General features: G+C 41.1%; 2 protein-coding genes across 7 annotated transcripts in view, besides 2 other annotated features; both read left to right on the top strand.

Annotated features, from left to right (window-relative positions):
• Window positions 1-8,286, top strand: part of CENPK (centromere protein K) — a 67,545-nt gene extending 59,259 nt beyond the window's left edge. For 4 of the 6 annotated variants that reach the window (XR_007058619.1, XR_007058617.1, XR_001742177.2 and 1 more), the window contains one exon: window positions 2,103-8,286. The gene's annotated coding sequence lies outside the window, so the exon portion shown is untranslated. Of the gene's footprint in view, window positions 1-352 lie in introns of all 6 variants that reach the window. The other 2 variants (XR_007058618.1, XR_007058615.1) reach the window with 1 other exon arrangement.
• Window positions 8,287-12,047: 3,761 nt separating this feature from the next.
• Window positions 12,048-19,569, top strand: LOC124900986 (uncharacterized). Its single transcript, XM_047417970.1, has 2 exons — window positions 12,048-17,017; window positions 17,258-19,569. Exon 1 carries the CDS (start codon window positions 15,243-15,245, stop codon window positions 16,176-16,178), a length of 936 nt encoding a protein of 311 aa, XP_047273926.1. The 5' UTR covers window positions 12,048-15,242; the 3' UTR covers window positions 16,179-17,017; window positions 17,258-19,569.
• Window positions 17,724-18,230: an enhancer, noted in NCBI's record as "H3K27ac-H3K4me1 hESC enhancer chr5:64781507-64782013 (GRCh37/hg19 assembly coordinates)". NCBI's record gives its function as "activates a minimal SCP1, AML or CMV promoter by ChIP-STARR-seq in primed H9 embryonic stem cells {active_cell/tissue: H9 hESC(primed)}" and the evidence as "EXISTENCE:reporter gene assay evidence [ECO:0000049][PMID:30033119]".
• Window positions 18,231-18,739: an enhancer, noted in NCBI's record as "H3K27ac-H3K4me1 hESC enhancer chr5:64780998-64781506 (GRCh37/hg19 assembly coordinates)". NCBI's record gives its function as "activates a minimal SCP1, AML or CMV promoter by ChIP-STARR-seq in naive H9 embryonic stem cells {active_cell/tissue: H9 hESC(naive)}" and the evidence as "EXISTENCE:reporter gene assay evidence [ECO:0000049][PMID:30033119]".
• Window positions 19,570-20,915: the final 1,346 nt, after the last annotated feature.

The following is a 20,915-nucleotide window of genomic DNA, read 5'->3' as shown; positions in this document are numbered from 1 at the left end:
CCAAGGTGGGCGGATCACGAGGTCAGGAGTTCTAGACCAGTCTGACCAATATGGTGAAACCCCATCTCTACTAAAAAATACAAAAATTAGCCAGGCGTGGTGGCACGTGCTTGTAGTCCCAGCTACTCTGGAGGCTGAGGCAGAGAATTGCTTGAACCCAGGAGGCAGAGGTTACAGTGAGCTGAGATCAAGCCACTGCACTCCAGCCTGGGCGACAGAGTGAGACTCTGTCTCAAAAAAAAAAAAAAGTTTAGCAAGTAGACAAAAAGTATCTTAAAGATAATAGAAAAAGTTCTAAATATTTTTAAAAATTTTAAATGTGCCAATTTAAATTATAAATTTCTGTCTGTAGAAAAAGAAGACATCTTTAGACAGAGTTAGAAGGCAACCCACAGAGTGGGAGAAAGTATGGTAACTATCCAACAAAGAATTCACATCTCAAATACATAAAGAGCTCTCCTAAAATCAACAATTAGAAGACATTCATCCTAATTTAAAATTATAGGCCGGACATAATGGCTCACGCCTGCAGAACAGCACTCTGGGAGGCCGAGGCAGGCGGATCACTTGAGGTCAGGATTTCGAGACTTGCCTGGCCAACATGGCAAAACCCCGTCTCTACTAAAAATACAAAAATTAGCTGGGCATGGTGGTGTGTGCCTGTAATCCCAGCTACTCGGGAGGCTGAGGCAGAATCGCTTAAACCCAGGAGGCAGATTTTGCAGTGAGCTGAGATCGAGACACTGCATCCAGCCTAGGAGACAGAGTGAGACTCTGTCTCAAAAAAAAAAAAAAAAAATATTACATTGGTGGGCAGGCACGGTGGCTCACACCTGTAATCCCAGCACTTTGGGAGGCTGAGACAGATGGATCAATTGAGGTCAGGAGTTTGAGACCAACCTGGCCAATGTGGTGAAACCCTGTCTCTACTAAAAATACAAAAATTAGCCAGGCATGGTGCCTGTAGTTCCAGCTACTCGGGAGGCTGAATCAGGAGAATCACTTGAACCTGGGAGGTGGAGGTTGCCGTGAGCCGAGCTTGCACCACTGCACTCCAGCCTGGGTGACAGAGCAAGACTGTCTCAAAAAATAATAAATAAATAAATAAATAAAATTTAAAAATTTATATTGGTTAGAAGACTTAAGAACCCAGGCACAGTAGGTGACGCCTGTAATCCCAGTGATGTGGGAGGATTGTTAGAGCCCAATAGTTTGAGGCTGCAGTGATCTCACCACTGCACTCTAGCCTCTAGCCTGGGTGACAGAGTGAGACCCTATTTCTTAAAAAAACAAACCAAACAAACAAAAAAAGACTCTTCATGTTAGAGAATAAATATCCTGAAAATGTTTTAAATATCTCTTCATATTAGAGAATAAATATTTTGAAAATGTTTTAAAGGAAAGAGAGGACTTCTAGTTTCAGACTAAGATGGAGTAGACACACTCCTCTCTATTCCTCCTGTTAATTGTAGCTTAAAACTTTGCACATTATATGTAATATACATGTTAGGAAATATCTGAAAAGTGGAGCGAAGGCAGCAGACTGCCTAGGGACTTTGGGACACAAAGAGGGACACAGCAGTTTTCTTTTTGCCTTATACGTACCAGACTGGATGCTAGAGAAGATCATAACCTTGAAAACACCAATGGAAGATAAAAGTTTCCCAAAACTTTGCTCTATCAAAAGGATGAGGAAAGAGGCAACACAGTAAGACAGAAAACTTTTCAACTATAACCACCCTACTGCAGCTAAACACCATGGAAAAAATACCACCCTACCACCACCCCTGTCCAAAAAGGCCAAAAGTAGTGGACCTCAGCTTCCACCCTTGTTGAGCTATAACATGGTGTCCTGCCCCTGGGGTGATCAGAGAAGACTGAGTTGGGAGTCAGGACTTTCCTCCCTGCCAGCAGTAAGAAGGCCATGTGGTGGTTCTGAACTTACATACCCACCCAGTAGTAAAGAGGCAACCCTGTTCATTAGAGGAAGCCATGTCAGAACTTTCACCACCATCCAGAGGTAAGGAGGCTTCCTACTCTTGACTATAGAATCAGTGGAGGCCACCTGGCAATCAGTAACAAGGTGCTCCTTCCTTTCCTAGCCAGACTGATGTCAATGGAGGCCTTTGAAGAGGCTGAATTTCCACAGCTGCCCAGATGTCACAAAGCACTTCTGTTTCCCTACCCTGGGTGTCAAAAAGCCTGAGCAGAGAACGTGGACTTTCACCACTACCTGGTAGTGATGAGACTGTGCCCCATTTCCCCTCCACCAGAATTGTGTCAAAGGTGGCCTGCTAAAACAAGATTTGAGTAAGATCTAGAGTGTTATAATAACCAAAATGTCCAGGGTACAATACATGCCCGAAGAACTAGGAAAATCTGAACTTTAATGAAAAAAGACAACATACAGCAACATCAAGATAAAACAGAGGGCCAGGAGCAGTGGCTCCTGCCTATAATCCCAGCATCTTGGGAGGCCAAGGTAGGTGGATCATATGAGGTCAGGAGTTCGGGACCAGCCTGGCCAACATGGTGAAACCCCATCTCTATTAAAAATACAAAAACTAGCTGGGCGTGGTGGTGGGTGCCTGTAATCCCAGCTACTAGGGAGGCAGAGGTAGGAGAATCACTGGAACACGGGAGGTGGATGTGGCAGTGAGCGAGATTGCATCATTGCACTCCAGCTTGGATGACAGAGCGAGACTCTGTCTCAAAAAAAAAAAAAAAAAAAAAAACAAACTTAGCAATTGCAAACATGCCTGAAACAAATGAAAATAGAAAGTCTCAGCAAAGAAATAGAAGATATAAAGAAGAATCATATTGAAAAGTTTAAAATGAGAAGCACAATAACCAGATTCAAGATTCAGTGATGGGCTCAATAGCAACATGAAGAGGACAAGAGGAAAGAATCAGCAAAGTTGCAGCTAGAACAATAGATATGGCCAGGCACCATGGTTCACGCCTGTAATCCCAGCACTTTGGGAGGCTGAGGTGGGTGGATCATGAGGTCAAGAGATCGAGAACATCCTGGCCAACATGGTGTAACCCCGTCTCTACTGAAAATACAAAAAATACAAAAATTAGCTGGGCATGGTGGTGTGTACCTGTAGTCCCAGCTACTGGGGAGGCTGAGGCAGGAGAATTGCTTGAACCCAGGAGGCAGAAGTTGCAGCGAGCCAAGATTGCGCCACTGCTCTCTAGCCTGGAGACAGAGTGGGATTCCATCTCAAACAAACAAACAAAAAACCGAAAAAACAAAGAACAATAGATATTCCTTAATCTGATTAACAGAGACAAAATATGATGAAATCAAATGAACAGAGCCTCAAAGACCTGTGACACTATATCCAGAATCTACAATGAACTCAAACAAATTTACAAGAAAAAAACAAACAACCCCATCAAAAAGTGGGCGAAGGACATGAACAGACACTTCTCAAAAGAAGACATTTATGCAGCCAAAAAACACATGAAGAAATGCTCATCATCACTGGCCATCAGAGAAATGCAAATCAAAACCACTATGAGATATCATCTCACACCAGTTAGAATGGCAATCATTAAAAAGTCAGGAAACAACAGGGGCTGGAGAGGATGTGGAGAAATAGGAACACTTTTACACTGTTGGTGGGACTGTAAACTAGTTCAACCATTGTGGAAGTCAGTGTGGCGATTCCTCAGGGATCTAGAACTAGAAATACCATTTGACCCAGCCATCCCATTACTGGGTATATACCCAAAGGACTATAAATCATGCTGCTATAAAGACACATGCACATGTATGTTTATTGCGGCACTATTCACAATAGCAAAGACTTGGAACCAACCCAAATGTCCAACAATGATAGACTGGATTAAGAAAATGTGGCACATATACACCATGGAATACTATGCAGCCATAAAAAATGATGAGTTCATGTCCTTTGTAGGGACATGGATGAAACTGGAAACCACCATTCTCAGTAAACTATCGCAAGAACAAAAAACCAAACACCGCATATTCTCACTCATAGGTGGGAATTGAACAATGAGATCACATGGACACAGGAAGGGGAATATCACACTCTGGGGACTGTGGTGGGGTCGGGGGAGGGGGGAGGGATAGCATTGGGAGATATACCTAATGCTAGATGACACGTTAGTGGGTGCAGCGCACCAGCATGGCACATGTATACATATGTAACTAACCTGCACAATGTGCACATGTACCCTAAAACTTAGAGTATAATAAAAAAAAAAAAATTAAAAAAAAAAAAAAGATCTAATATTTTTGTCATCAAAGTCCCAGAAAGAGGAGAAAGTGGGTGGGTTTTAAAATAGTGGCTGAATATTTCCCAAATTTGGTAAAAAGCATAAACCTACAGATTCAAGAAGCTGAGAGAACCCCAGCTCAGGAAAGGATAAACCTAAAGAAGTCTACACCAAGACACATTGTAAGTAAACTGAAAAGAGAAGGCAAAAAGTCTTAAAAGCATTGAGAGAGAAAGGATACCTTACCTATGGGGAAAAACAATTGGGAGGACAGTAGATTTTCATCAAGCACCGAGGAGGCCAGAAGGAAGTGGCTTAATGTTTTTCAATTGCTCAACGAACTGTCAGCCCTGTCAGATATCATATATCTGGTAAAATTACCCCTTAGGAATGAGGGGGAAATAAATACATACTAGATGAAGGAAAACTAAGAGAGTTTGTTGCTAGCAGACCTACCCTAAAAGAAGGCTAAAGAAAGTTCCTGGCTGGGTGCAGTGGCTCACGACTGTAATCCCAACACTTTGGGAGACTGAGGCCTGCCAAGCTGAGGCCAGGTGGACAGCTTGAAGCCTGGAGTTCAAGATAACCCTGGGCAATAAAGGGAGGCCTCATTCTCTATTTAAAAAAAGAAAGTCCTGAAACATAAAGGAAATCATCAAAGAAGGAATCTTGGAATATTAGGAAAGAAGGACAACAGGAAAGAGCAAAAATGTGACCAAATACAAGACCGGGTATGTTGACTCACACCCGTAATCCCAACACTTAGGGAGGTTGAAGCCTGTTCTCAAGACCAGTCTGGGCAACATGGCGAGACTCTGTCTCTACAAAAAATAAATTAGCCAGGCGTGGTGTCGTGTGCCTGTAGTCCTAGTTACTAAGGAGCCTAAGGCAGCAAGATTGCCTGACCCAGGAATTTGAGGTTATTGTGAGCCATGATCAATGCCACTGCACTCCACCCTGGGTGGAGTGAGACCCTGTCTCAAAAAAGAGACAGAATCAGACCCTGTCTCTAAAAAAAAAAAAAGAAAAAAGAAAAAGAAAGAAAAAAAGAAAAGAAAGAAAAAAGAAAGAGAAGGAAGATATATGACCAAATACAATAGTTTTCTTCTTGAATTTTCTAAGTTATGTGTCCATGATTGAAACAAAATATATGATTTGATTCTCAGTGATGTAGAGGAAATATTTAAGACGATTGTAACTGGGGAAAGGTAAAGAGGTTTAAAGGAAGGTAGGATTTTACTTCATTCAAACTGATAAAATGTCAATACCAGTAGACTATGGTAAGTTACATAAGTGTTATGTAAATGTAATAAATAAAGCAATCACGTACAAAAAACATATATAAAGAGATATGCCCTCAATCCCTAGATGTATTCCTTGAAGGTTGGGAATATATCTATATGTGTATATTGATATATATTTACATAACATTAGAGAGATATATAATATATAAAAATGTTTCAGAAATTATTAAAGATATTTTAAAAGTAAATTATTTCTAGGCTAGGGTAGCAAATGATAATGTAAGGAAATTGTAGCCTAGTCTTATGAACGTAGATGCAAAATCCAACAGAAAATACTAGAAAAACAATTCATACCAATTATACATACAGTATAAGAAATTTATAATGCTGAAATTCAATTTCTTCCTTCTTGGCATTTTTGTTATTGTCAGATCTTTTATTTTGACAGATGTTACAAACTCCACACTATATTGTTTTTATTCTAACTTAAATAGACTTTTGAATATATATGTGTATATTTTATTTATTTATTTATTTGTTTGTTTGAAATAGGGTCTTGCTCAGTTGCCCAGGCTGCAGTGCAATGGCACAATCATAGCTCATTGCAGCCTTGAACTCCTGGGCTTAAGTGAGCCTCCCACCTCACCCTCAAAAAGTGCTGGAATTACAGGCGTGAGCCACTGTCCTGCCTTTTTATTGGAACATTTCGTTCATTTATATTTACAGTAGACAGACTTCTAAAACCCTGTTCAATAATTTTCACCTCCTGGTATCCCTGGCTTTGTGTTATCCCCTTCCCATTAGGTGTGGACCGGGGAACTTATGACTTGTTTGTAATGAATCAATAGAACAAAGGGACATCACTTCTGAGACTAGGTTACAAAAGACTGTGACTCCTATCTTGCTGTCATTCTGTTGCTCTTTCTCCTTTGCTTACTTTGATGAGGTCAACTGCCATGTTGTGATTGTCCATATTGTAGTTTCTTATCACTAAGGGTGACTGCTTCTAACAGCCCGTGAGGAACTAATTTTTTTCTTTTTTTTTTGAAAGGGAGTCCCACTTTGTCGCTTAGGCTGGAGTGCAGTGGGGGCAATCTTGGCTCACTGCAACCTCCATCTCCCGGGTTCAAGCGATTCTCCTGCCTTAGCCACCCGAGTAGCTGGGATTACAAGCATGTGCCACCATGCCCAGCTAATTTTTGTATTTTTAGTAGAAATGGGGTTTCACCATGTTTGCCAGGCTGGTCTTGAACTCCTGACCTCAGGTAGTCCGCCCGCCTCAGCCTCCCAAAGTGCTGGAATTACAGGCGTCAGCCACTGCACTTGGCCACTATTTTTATTTTATTTTTATTTTTTGGAGACGGAGTCTCACTCTTGTCGCCCAGGCTGGAGTGCAGTGGCGTGATCTTAGCTCACTGCAATGCTCCGCCTCATGGGTTCAATCAATTCTCTGCCTCAGCCTCCCGAGTACCTGGGATTACAGGCACCCGCCACCACGCCTGGCTAATTTTTTTGTATTTTTTTTAGTAGAGATGGGGTTTCACCATCTTGGCCAGGCTGGTCTTGAACTCCTGACCTTGTGATCTACCTACCTCGGCGTCCCAAAGTGCTGGGATTACAGACGTGAGCCATCGCACCCAGCCTTTTTATTTTTATAGTAAAAATATACTCATAAATACTTTGGAAAAAAAACAAACAGCAAAGTATAAAGATGAAAATTAAAAACCCCACCACCCAGAGATAACCACTTGTAACCTTTTTTTATTACTTAACCTTGATCCTAACTGTATGACATGTGCTAGAAAATATGAAATTATGATCCTAATTTTATGAAGTAAAGTGTTTACGTATGCATTTTATGTATATGCTTATAATGTTCTTTATGATTATACTATATAATGAGCTCTGCTTCTTTTACTCTTTGTTGTATTTTTCTCATAACTAGGTAATATTAGAAAAAACATTTTTAAGGCTACTGGATTATTAACAAAGTAGGAGTACCATCATTTATTTTAACAATTTTTCTATTATTGGCTATTGAGGTTGTTCCCAGTCTTTCACTCTTAGAAATAGCACCGTGATCAATGTCTTTATGTAAATTCCTAGAAATAGAGACACTAGGTCAAAGAGTATAAGTGTTTTGTTTTGTTTTGTTTTGTTTGAGACAAGGTCTCTATAGCCCAGGCTGGAATGCAGTGGTATAATCATGGCTCACTGCAACCTCAACCTCCCTGGCTCAAGTGATCCTCCCACCTTAACCTCCTAAGTAGCTGGGACTACAGGTGTGCCCCACCATGCCTGGTTAATTTTTTGTGTTTTTTGTAGAGACGGGGTTTTGCCATGTTGCCCAGACTGGTCTAAAACTTCTGGGCTCAAGCAATCCACTCACCTTGGCCTCCCAGAGTGCTGGAATTACAGGCATGAGCCGCCTTGCCTGGCCACTAAGGCTCTTGATTAATATTGCCAAATGCCTTTCCAGAAAGGTTGAAGCAATTTATACCACCACCAGCAGTGTATGAGAGTGCCCATTTAATGGAACCCTTGCCAACAATGAGTATTTTTTAAAATTTTGTCTATTTGATTATAAAAATCTTGTTTTAATTTATATTTATTGGATTATAAGTGAGATGGAACTTTTTTTCATAGATTACTGGCTGTTTGTATTTCTTCTTTTGTGAATTTTTTGTTTCCTTGATCGTTATTCTAGAACAGTGCTGAATAGACACCTAATGCAAACTGTGTATGTAATTTTATAATAAATTTTCTTGTGGCCTCATTAAACAAGTAAAAAGAAACAGGTGAAATAAATTTTAATGATAAAATTATTTTAGTAATAAAAAATCTTAATAAAATTTATTTAACTACATACACCCCAAATATTATCATTTCAACATTGGCACTAGCTACATTTCAAGTGCTCTTGTGAGTAGTGGCTACCATATTGGACAGTGCAGATTCAGAACGTTTCCATCATAGTGGAAAGTTCAACTGGACAGCACTAGCATGGAGCTAGAGCTTTTGATATTTTTTTATAAGGAAACTTTATATATTTAGTTTTTGTCTATCCTATTTGTTGTAGTTTTTTCCAGTATGCCGTTAACCTTTTAATTTTGTTTATTCTTTTTATTTACTAATATTCAAACAATATAGGTGGATCTGTCATTCTTTCCCTTTGTTGTCTATTCCATTGTTTTAGGTCTACCTATTCCCAGATAGTTAATTCTTCACCTATATTTTCTTCTGTCCCCCCACCCCCATGTTTTTACAGACAGGGCCTCATTATGTTGCTTAGGCTGGGAGTGCAGTGGCTATTCACAGGCATGATCATAGCACACTACAGCCTCAAACTCCTGGCCACAAGCGATCCTCCTGCCTTGGCCTCCCAAGAAGTTAGGACTACAGTGACACACTACTGAACCAGGCTACCCTAGATTTTTTAATGGCTTCATTTGTAATGCAGTTATTTAATCCTGAAATTTATCACATTATTTTAAAAGTGTACCTGATTTATCAAGAAGCTTACTATGGTTGCATGTCTATCAATTTCTCCTTGGAGTTTGTAAGAGTTTCTATTTTAAGTATTTTGATGCTGTGTTATTTAGTGCATAACAGTTCGGGATTGTTGATCATTGTAAAGGACTATGATTCTCCTGGTCCTTTGTAGTAGTTTTTATTTTGACTCTACTTTATTTGAAATTAATATTGTCACCCCTGGTTTGGGTGGCAGTATTTCCCTAAGAAATCATTGCCCAAGCTTTAATTTTTAACCTTCCAATTTTATTTTGCATATACTTTTGTAATTATTGTTTTTGTGTGTGTGTGTGTGTGTGTGTGTTTGTGTTTTTTTTTTTTTTTTGAGACAAAGTCTCACTCTGTCTCCCAGGCTGGAGTGCCAGTGGCATGATCTTGGCTCATTGTAACCTCCACCTCCCAAGTTCAAGTGATTCTCCTGCCTCAGCCTCCTGAGGTAGCTAGGATTACAGACGTCTGCCACCATGCCAAGCTAATTTTACAATTTTAGTAGAGATGGAGTTTCACCATGTTGGCCAGGCTGGTCTCGAATTCCTGGCCTCAAGTGATTCACCCACCTCAGCCTTCCAAAGTGCTGGGATTACAGGCGTGAGCCACTGCACCCAGCCTTTTGTAATTATTTTTGTAACTGTGATTTAATCTTAACTCTGTTAAATTGATTTTTTTTCTTATTGCTGGTCCTTTTATATGTCAATTTCTCCCATTTTTGAGTTGTTATTTTTTATATCACTTAGACTGCTGATATATGCCTTCAATAATTACTTTCAAATACATATCTTATAGTCAGTATTCAATAAATATTGCCTGCATAAAATAATAAATGAATGAATGAAGGAAGGAAGGATGTTAAGCCTTTACACATCATAGAATGTCTTTCTGTTCTGTGGTAAAAAGCGTATGACTTTTTGTTTTATGAAAAGTCTACTTTTTACTCTTGAATGATGGTCTCATGTCTCTCTCTTTTTTTTTCAACAAACAATTTTTTAGCTTTTTTTTTCTTTTAAACATTTAAACATTTTACCAGGATATGTCTAGGTTTTGGTTTCTTTACATTGATTTTACCAGGAAAAGAATGAAACTTTTAATCTTCTAATTTAAGTCATTCTTAAATTCAGGAAGGTTTTTTTCTGGTATGTATTTGTCTGTTTTTGTACAGTTGTTCTGAATCCATTTTTCAGGAATATGACTAATTTTGAGATTGGATCCCAGGTTCTAACCCTCATATCAATAATTAATTTTCATCTGTTTGCTCATTTTATGTATATTTAGAAGGATTTTTGGCAAATGACATAAGATGAGGAATTAAGTTTTTTTTTCTAATTAGCTTGCCTTCTCAAAACTGAAAAAATACACGTTTATTTTCTATATCTTTCATTCTGTTTTTATTTTTTAATTTATTTTTTATTTTTTATTTTTATGGGCACATAGTAGGTGTATATATTTATAGGGCACATGAGATATTTTGATACAGGCATACAATGTGTAATAATCACATCAGGGTAAATGTGATATCCATCACTTCCAGCATTTCTCTCTTGTGTTACAAACAATCTAATTATACTTTTTTGGTTATTTAAAAATCTACCATTAAATTATATTTGACTGTAATCACCCTAGCAAATACTAGGTCTTGAACTAGCAAATACTAGGTCTTATGTATTCTTTTTTAAAAATTTTATTTTAAATTATGTTTTGTAGAGACAGGGTCCCCATATGTTGCCCAGGCTGGTCTTGAACTCCTGGGCTTAAGCAATCTTCCACCTTGGCCTCCCAAAGTGCTGGGATTACAGCCACTATGCCCAGCCATGCATTTCTTTATTATTTTGTACCCATTAACCATCCCCACTTCTCCTCAACCCCCTGCCCCCCACTATCCTTCCCAGCCTCTGGTAACCGTCTTTCTATTCTCTGTCTCCATGAGTTCAATTGTTTTAATTTTTACCTTCCACAATTAAGTGAGAATGTTTGAAGTTTGTCTTTCTGTGCCTGGCTTATTTCACTTGACATAATGACTTCCTGTTCCATTTATATTGTTGCCAATGATAGGATCTCATTCTTTTTTATGGCTGAAGAGTAACTTCATTGTGGAGTACTCCACTGCATACCACATAGTTAGGATTGCTAGTGAGATTGAGCACTTCATTATTTATTTATTGGTCTTAGCTTGTTTTCTCCTGTGACTTGCCTATTTATGGCATTTTCCAATTTTTTTGGTCTGTCTCTCATAGATTTGTGAGTTATTTAATGAGAGATATTTATTCTGTTTCAATTATATATATTGCAAATCCTCCCAATCTCTGGTTTATATTTTTCACTTTTTAATGATCTTTTAATTTTCATTTAATAAAGTAAAACTCATCAGTCTTTTCCTTTATGCTTTGAGTCTTTGCACTTATTTAAGAAATTCTACAATAATTAGAAAATATTTATTTTTACTATATGAGATTCAAATCCCATCGTATTGAAGGAGTAAACTGTATCATATTGAAAGTATATGCAATTTGGCCAGGCGTGGTGGCTCACGCCTGTAATCCTAGCACTTTAGGAAGCAGAGGCAGGTGGATCACCTGAGGTCAGGAGTTTGAGACCAACCTGGCCAACATGGTGAAACCCCGTCTCTACTGAAAATAGAAAAATTAGCCAGGCATGGTGGCATGAGCCTGTAATCCCAGTTACTCGGGAGACTGAGGCATGAGAATTGCTTGAACCTGGGAGGCAGAGGTCGCAGTGAGCTGACATCACACCCTGGGCGACAGAGTGAGACTCCGTCACAAAAAAAAAAAAAAAAAAGTATATGGAATTTGGTTTTAACATTTTATTTTTTTTGAAACAAGTTCTTGCTCTGTCACCCAGGCTGGAGTATATTGGCAGCATCATAACTCATTGTAACCTCAAACTCCTGGGCTCAAGCAATCCTCCTACCTCAGCCTCTCAAGTAGCTAGGACTACAGGTGTGCACCAATATACCCAGCTAATTTTTTTTTTATACCCAGCTTATTTTTAAAATTTTTTTTTTGTAGAATCAGTGTCTTGCTATTGCCCACTCTCGTTTCAAATTCCTGGCCTCAAGCCGGCAATTCCCACTTCAGCTTCCCAAAGCAAGAGATTTCAGGTATGAGTCACCATGGAAATTTGGTTTTAATGTGTTACATCTAGTTTTAATATCTCAGGAGTTGAATTAATAATTCATCATCTTTAGAGAGAGTCACCTGCTTCAATGTAGCAATTAATTCCAAGCAAGTGTATAATCAGAATTCTTCATGTCATTTTTCTGAAAACACAAGCAGTCTAATTTTAAGAAATGGCTTGGTTTTCAACTTAAACATTTAAGTTTAATTTATAGATTAATGTATTAAAATTTTTAAGGGCTTGTTCTTACCTCTATAAATTCCTCAATCCCTGTTCTTTGGCTATCAAATTCTTCTGTCTTTGCTTCTAGTTTTCAGTTTCTGAAATATATACCTACATATAAACAAATTTCTTCCTGTCCCCAATTTCCATTTATTCCATCTTTGGTTTCCTGAACAGGGTTCACTTAAATTTATTAGTTTTCTAAAGACTCCTCTAACTTTTTTTGGGGGTGTGACTAAGGAGTTTGCTGTCAACTCTATTCTGCCCATAATCTTCATTTCTTAATTAAATGAAGAAAGGAAAGAAAAGCTGGAGGGAATGAATGATGGGGAGCCTGGGTGCCCTGAGGAAGGACCCCACTACACTACTGACAATTTATGCTGTTAATCTTTCTCCCATCCTTCCCCAAGGAGACCTCTGGCCTTTTACCAGAGTAACTGCACTGGGGAAAGGGGAATGATCAGACTTTTCAGGGACTTACTGGATACTGGCTCTGAGCTGACATTTATTCCAGGGGACCCAAAACATCATTGTGGTCCTCCAGTTAAAGTAGGGGCTTATGGAGGTCAGGTACTTAATGGAGTTTTAGCTCAGGTCCCACTATAGTGAGTCCAGTGGGTCCCTGGACTCATCCTGTGGTCATTTCCCCAGTGTCAGAATGCATAATTGGCATAGACATACTTAGCAGCTGGCAGAATCCCCACATTGGCTCCCTGACTGGTAGGATGAAGGCTATTATGGTGGGAAAGGCCAAATGGAAGCCATTAGAGCTGCCTCTACCTAGATAAATAGTAAATCAAAAACAATATTGTAAAAACAAACAAAAAACAACAACAAAAACCAATATCGCATCCCTGAAGGGAGTGCAGAGATTAGTGCCACCATCAAGGACTTGAAAGACGAACTCTCCTATTTGGCCCGTGCAGAAGAGAGATGGATCTTGGAGAATGACAGTGGATTATCGTAAGCTTAACTAAGTGGTGACTCCAATTGCAGCTGCTGTGTCAGATGTGGTTTCATTGTTTGGACAAATTAATACATCTCCTGGTACCTGGTATGCAGCCATTGATTTGGCAAGTGCCTTTTTCCCCATTCCTGTTTGTAAGACCCACCAGAAGCAATTTGCCTTCAGCTGGCAAGACCAGCAATATACCTTCACTGTCGTACCTCAGAGGTATATCAGCTCTCCGGGTTTGTGTCATAATCTTGTTTGCAGAGATCTTGATCACTTTTCCCTTCCGCAGGATATCACACCAGTTCATTAGTTCATTACATTGATGACAGTATGTGACCGGATCTAGTGAGCAAGAAGTAGCCAACACACTGGACTTATTGATGAGACATTTGCATGCCAGGGGATGGGAAATTAACTAAAATTCAGGGACCTTCTACCTCAGTAAAATTTCTAGTGGTCCAGTGGTGTGGGGCCTCTCAAGATATTCCTTCTAAGGTGAAGGATAAGTTGCTGCATTTGCCCCCTCCTACAACCAAGAAAGAGGGACAACGCCTAGTGGGTCTATTTGGATTTTGGAGGCAATACATTCCTCATTCTGGTGTGTTACTCCAGCCCATTTATCGAGTGACCTAAAAGGCTGCCAGTTTTGAGTAGGGTCCAGAACAGGAGAAGGCTCTGCAACAGGTCTAGGCTGTTGTGAAAGCTGCTGTGCCACTTGGGCCATATTACCTAGCAGATTCAATGGTGCTTGAGATGTCAGTGGCAGATAGGGATGCTATTTGGAGCCTTTAGCAGGCCCCCATAGGTGAATCACAGCAGAGGCCTCTAGGATTTTGGAGCAAGGACCTATCTTCTGCAGATAACTACTCTCCTTTTGAGAGACAGTTCTTGGCTGGTTACTGGGCTTTGGTAGAAACTGAATGTTTGACTATGGGCCATCAAGTCACCATGTAACCTAAACTGCCTGTCATAAACTCGTGCTTTCTGACCCATCTAGCCATAAAGTGGGGCATGCACAGCGGCATTCCATCATCAAATCGAAGTGGTATATATGTGATCAGGCTTGAGCAAGTCCTGAGGGCACAAGTAAGTTATGTGAGCAAGTGGCTCAAATGCCCATGGTCCCTGCTCCTGCCATCTAGCTCTCTTTCCCCCAGCCTGCACCAGTGGCCTCATGGGGAGCTCCCTGTGAACAGTTGAAAAAGGAAGAGAAGACAAGGGCCTGGTTTACAGATGGTTCTGCATGATACGCAAGCACCACCCAAAAGTGGACAGCTGCAGCACTACAGCTGCTTTCTAGAACATCCCTGATGGACAGTGGTGAAGGGAAATCTTCCCAGTGGGCAGAACTTCGAGCAGTGCACCTGGTTGTGGACTTTGCATGAAATGAGAAATGGCCAGATATGCGATTATATACTGATTCATGGGCTGTAGCAGATGATTTGGCCGGATGGTCAGGAACTTGGAACAAGCATGATTGGAAAATTGGTGATGAAGAAATTTGGGGAAGAGGTATGTGGATGGACCTCTCTTTTTGAGTGGTCAGAAACTATATTTGTATCTCTTATGAGTGCTCACCAAAGGTGACCTCAGCAGAGGAGGATTTTAAAAATCAAGTGGATTGGGTGACTTATTCTGTGGACACCACTCAACGTCTTTCCCCAGCCACCCCTGTTATCACCCAATGGGCCCATGAACAAAGTGGCCATGGTGGCAGGGATGGAGGTTACACACGGGCTCAGTAACATGGACTTCCACTCATCAAGGCTGACCTGGCTATGTATGACCACTGCTGAGTGCCTGATTTGCCAGCAGCAGAGACCAACACTGAGCCCTTGATATGGCACCATTCCTTGGGGTGATCAGCCAGCTACTTGGTGGCAGGTTGATTATATTGGACCTCTTCCATCATGGAAAGGGCAGCGGTTTGTCCTCACCAGAATAGACACTTACTCCAGATATGCGTTTGCCTATCCTGCATGGAATGCCTTATCCACCATCATGGTATTCTGCATAGCATTGCCTCTGACCAAGGCACATACTTTACAGCTAAAGAAGTGCAGCAGTATGTTCATGCTCTTGGAATTCACTGGTCTTCTCCTTATCATTTTGAAGCAGCTGGATTGATAGAACGGTGGAATGGCCTTTTGAAGTCACAATTACAACATCAACTAGGTGACAATACTTTGCAGGGCTGGCGCAGAGTTCTCCAGAAGGCTGTGTATGCTCTGAATCAGTGTCCAATATATGGTACAGTTTCTCCCATAGCCAGGATTCACGGGTCCAGGAATCAAGGGGTGGAAGTGGAAGTGGCACCACTCACCATCACCCCTAGTGGCCCATTAGAAAAATTTTTGCTTCCTGTTCCCGCAACATTACGTTCTGCTGGCCTAAAAGTCTTAGGTCCAGAGTGGAGAGTGCTGCCACCAGGACACACAACAATGATTCCATTAAACTGGAAGTTAATATTACCACCTGGACACTTTGAGCTCCTCCTACCTTTAAGTCAGCAGGCTAAGAAGGGAGTTACAGTGTTGCCTGGGGTGATTGGCTTGGACTATCAAGATGAAATCAGTCTACTACTCATCTTGAAATCAGTCTACTCTTCCTTACCTGATGGAGGTAAGGAAGAGTATGCATGGAATACAGGAGATCCTTTAGGGCCTCTCTTAGTATTACCATGCCCAGTGATTAAGGTCAATGGGAAACTACAACAACCCAATCCAAGCAGGACTAAAAATGACCCATACCCCTCCGGAATGAAGGTTTGGGTCACTCTACCAGGTACAAAACCACAACCTGCTGAGGTGCTTGCTGAAGAGACACAGGGAATACAGAATGGGTAGTAGAACAAGGTTGTCATCAGTACTGACTATGACCACCATTACCAGTTGCAGAAATGAGAACTGTAATTCTCATGAGTATTTCCTCCTTATTTCGTTAAGAACATGTTTATGCATGTATACAGTTTGTCTAAGAAAATATCTTCATTTTCCTTTTTCCTTTATCATGTGACATAAAATTTATTGACTTCATATCAGCATTTAAGTGGTAACTTTATGTAATAGCATTTAGTTTAAGGATTAATGTGCTTCCAGCTTTACAAAGGATAGGGATAGCTGTATTATGTTAGGCATAATTATGACCTTATTATTGTCTTTATTTGAAGATTATGTATGATTTCAGGAGATGTATATGCGTTCAAGTTGACAAAAGGTAGACTTCTGATGGTTAATATTGAGTGTCAACTTGATTGGATTGAAGGATGCAAAGTATTGTTCCTGGCTGTGTTGTGAGGGTGTTGCCAAAGGAGATTAACATTTGAGTCAGCGGACTGCGAGAGGAGGACCCACCCTCAAGCTGGGTGGGCACAATCTAATCAGCTGCCAGCATGGATAGAATAAAAGCAGGCAGAAGAACATGGAAGTACTGGACTGGCTGAGTCTTCCAGCCTCATCTTTCTCCTGTGCTGGATGCTTCCTGCCCTCAAACATCAGACTCCAAGTTCTTCAGCTTTTGGACTCTTGGACCTACACCAGTAGTTTGCCAGAGGCCCTTGGACCTTTGGTCAAAGGCTGAAGGCTGCACTGTTGGCTTCGCTACTTTTGAAGTTTTGGGACTTCAACTGGCTTCCTTGCTTCTCAGCTTGCAGATGGCCTATTGTGGAATTTCACCTTATGATCGTGTGAGTCAATACTCCTTAATAAACTCTCCTTCATATATACAGCTATCCTATTAGTTCTGTCCCTCTAGATAACCCTGACTAATATAGCTTCTATTTTTTGGTTTTTGAAATATATACATGTAAACAAATTTCTTCCCCTCACCAATTTCCACTTATTTCACCTTTGGTTTCCTGAATGGGGTTCACTTAAGTATATCAGTTTTCTAAAGACTGCTAGCTTTTTTTTTTTTTTTTTTTTAGATGTGACGAAGGAGTTTCCTGTCAACTCTATTCTGCCCATAATCTTCATTTCTTAAACGAAGAAGGAAAAGAAAAGCTGGAGTGAAAAGTTTTGAAAGAGAAAAAATTGATCTCTGTAATAATTTTCAAGAATTTTTACTGCAACTAAAATTCAGTGTTTAGTTTATGAAGAAAAAAATGAATGGCTATAGTACATACATTTCCATGGTAACAGAAGTGCTAAATACGGTATTAAAAATGGCAAGATATGCCTGTAATCCCAGCACTTTGGGAGGCCGAGATGGGCGGATCATGAGGTCAGGAGATTGAGACCATCCTGGCTAACACTGTAAAACCCCTTCTCTACTAAAAATACAAAAAATTAGCCGTGCGTGGTGGCGGGCGCATGTAGTCCCAGCTACTCGGGAGGCTGAGGCAGGAGAATGGCATGAACCCAGGAGGCGGAGCTTGCAGTGAGCCGAGATCGCACCACTGCACTTCAGCCTGGGCTACACAGTGAGACTCCGCCTCAAAAAAAAAAAAAAAAAAAAGGCAAGTTGTTTATATAGGATTTATATTGCAAGAAAAAGAAGAAGGGGAAACAAGATTTAATAGATTTAGTGGCTGGGTACAGTGGCTGATGCTTAAAATCCACCACTTTGGGAGGTCGAGGTGGGCGTGAGAGGTGACAGCTGCTGGCAGTCCTCACAGCCCTTGCTCGATCTGGGCGCCTCCTCTGCCTGGGCTCCCACTTTGGCGGCACTTGAGGAGCCCTTCAGCCCGCCGCTGCACAGTGGGAGCCCCTTTCTGGGCTGGCCAAGGCCAGAGCTGGCTCCCTCAGCTTGCGGGGAGGTGTGGAGGGAGAGGTGCAGGCGGGAACCGGCGCTGCGTGCGGTGCTTGCAGGCCAGTGCGAGTTCCGGGTGGGCGTGGGCTCGGCAGACCCTGCACTCGGAGCAGCCCGCCGGCCCCACTGGCCCCGGGCAGTGAGGGGCTTAGCACCTGGGCCAGCAGCTGCTGTGCTCAATTTCTCGCGGGGTCTTAGCTGCCTTCCCGCAGGGCAGGGCTGGGGCCTGCAGCCTGCCACGCCTGAGCCTCCCCCCCGGCCTCCGTGGGCTCCTGTGCTGCCTGAGCCTCCCCGACGAGCACTGCCCGCTGCTCCAGGGCGCCCAGTCAACCACCCAAGGGCCGAGGAGTGCGGGCACAAGGGGCGAGACTGGCAGGCAGCTCCACCTGCAGCCCCGGTGCGGGATCCACTGGGTGAAGCCAGCTGGGCTCCTGGGTCTGGTGGGGACTTGGAGAACCTTTTTGTCTAGCTAAGGGATTGTAAATACACCAATGGGCACTCTGTATCTAGCTCAAGGTTTGTAAACACACCAATCAGCACCCTGTGTCTAGCTCAGGGTTTGTGAATGCACCAATAGACACTCTGTATCTAGCTACTCTGGTGGGGCCTTGGAGAACCTTTATGTGGACACTCTGTATCTAGCTAATCTGGTGGGGAGGTGGAGAACCTTTGTGTCTAGCTCAGGGATTGTAAACGCACCAATCAGCACCCTGTCAAAACAGACCACTGGGCTCTACCAATCAGCAGGATGTGGGTGGGGCCAGATAAGAGAATAAAAGCAGGCTGCCTGGGCCAGCAGTGGCAACCTGCTCGGGTCCCGTTCCACACCGTGGAAGCTTTGTTCTTTCGCTCTTTGCAGTAAATCTTGCTGCTGCTCACTGTTTGGGTCCACACTGCATTTATGAGCTGTAACACTCACAGCGAAGGTCTGCAGCTTCACTCCTGAGCCAGCGAGACCACGAACCCACCAGAAGGCCGAACACATCTGAACATCAGAAGGAACAAACTCCGGACACGCTGCCTTTAAGAACTGTAACACTCACCTGAGAGTCCGCAGCTTCATTCTGGAAGTCAGTGAGACCAAGAACCCACCAAATTCCGGACACAGGAGGATCACTTGAGGCTGAGTTCGTGACCAGCCTGGGCAACAGGGAGACCCTATCTCTACAAAAATAAAAACTTAGCTGGGGATGGTGGTTCATGCCTGTAGTTCCAGCTAAAATATATGTATTTTTTATTAGTCAATTTAAATAAGTAAATAGATAATAAAAATTTTAAAAAGAGACAAGAGAATGGCGGTTACATGGGCCAGTTGACTTGTGAAAATTCATTAGACTGGACACTTGTCATCAAACTATGTAATTATACATTTTTCTGCATGAATATTTTCAATTAAAAGTTTATTAAGAAAAGATGGAGCCATTGCAATGTATGGATCTTGATTCTAATAAAAAGGCATTTTTTAAAGCCCTTTTTGCAATTGGGAAATCTGAGTACAATATTTGATGACATGAGTTATTAATGTTTTAAGAATAATAGTGGTGTATATTTTTTTAGTACTTTTAGAAATACAGGGAAATAATGAAACGATATCTGATGAAATGATAGATGAAACAAAGTTGGTCACACTTGGACACTTGAAACTGGATGATGGCTACATGAGTGTTCATTATACTGTTTTTTTTTTTACTTTTGTATATGTTTGAAATTTTCTGCAATGCAGTTAAAACATTTACACAAACACATATATATACACATATATAAAGTTAAATTGACAGTTCGCCATTTCCCACCCTAATCAATTTTCACCAATTATTCACAGTATTCTTGACCCAATCAACTTGGAGACAGAATCTGTTGGAAAAATTTCATTACTCTGTTTAGACACAGGATGGCACTCTTTGAATAAGTAATTAGCCAAAGTCCACTCCCACTAAGTAAGCTCCTCTACAAGCTGCTACTTTGTAGGGCAGTTTATCTTAGTTGAGGGTAAAATCTTTTCAGAGCTTATATAGATGTTTACTGCTCATACCTTTATTTTTTGTGTGTGTGCTGGCTGTCCCTATTTACTGCCAGTACTTGAAAAATTAAGGAAGGTTAAGGTTCAACACTATTTAAATAGTCATTTGATGCCTACTTTTCTTATTTTTGGTGTTTACAATTATTGCTATATTTTGCTACCTCATGTATTTCACATATATGTACACACATATATATACACATACAAATACGCACACATACATACATACATATGAATCATCTTTATTTAAAACTCAATGCCCACTATTGAACAGATTTCTACATTTTAAATGGCTTTTAGCCAGATACTACTGATTAAGGTCAGGATGAGGACTATTTACTCTGTGGACAGATGCTTTCCACTTTCAACCCTTGAAGAAGAATTGAAATAACTGTATTCTTGGACGTTCTCAGTCTGATTCATGCCTCCTTTTAGCCAACTATTCATAGATTCACCAGAAGAATTACACCTACTACCTCCGGCGTAGGAAGAAAAAAAAAAATCAAATGGGCAATAATGTTAGCAGAAGCTTGATATTTAAGAGCTGGTATTCAGAAAGATCATCCTTCCTACCCCCTTCCCTCCGGTCCAGTTCTCCTTTCTGGTTCTCACCATCGGAAATTGACTTGGCATTAACTAAGGGCTGGAATTTCAAGGCGTCAATTTTCCCCTGCCCCCAACCTCGGAAACTCTTAAACAGCTCCCTATTCTACACTCAATGGTAGAGACAGATAAATGATGCAGCAGATTACACCGTTGAAAGGCAACATTTGTCCTGAGCTATTTTCACATTTTTTCCTGTTTCCGATGTATG

Source organism: Homo sapiens, chromosome 5 (genome assembly GCF_000001405.40).
Source record: "Homo sapiens chromosome 5, GRCh38.p14 Primary Assembly".
Classification (NCBI taxonomy): Eukaryota; Metazoa; Chordata; class Mammalia; order Primates; family Hominidae; genus Homo; species Homo sapiens.
Note: the sequence above shows the minus strand (reverse complement) of the source record. Positions and strands in the feature narration are given on the sequence as shown.

What these genes read in the sequence shown, in the direction of transcription:
- LOC124900986 (XM_047417970.1), top strand. Translation starts at nt 15,243, where the DNA reads ATGGAAAGGGCAGCGGTTTGTCCTCACCAGAATAGACACTTACTCCAG.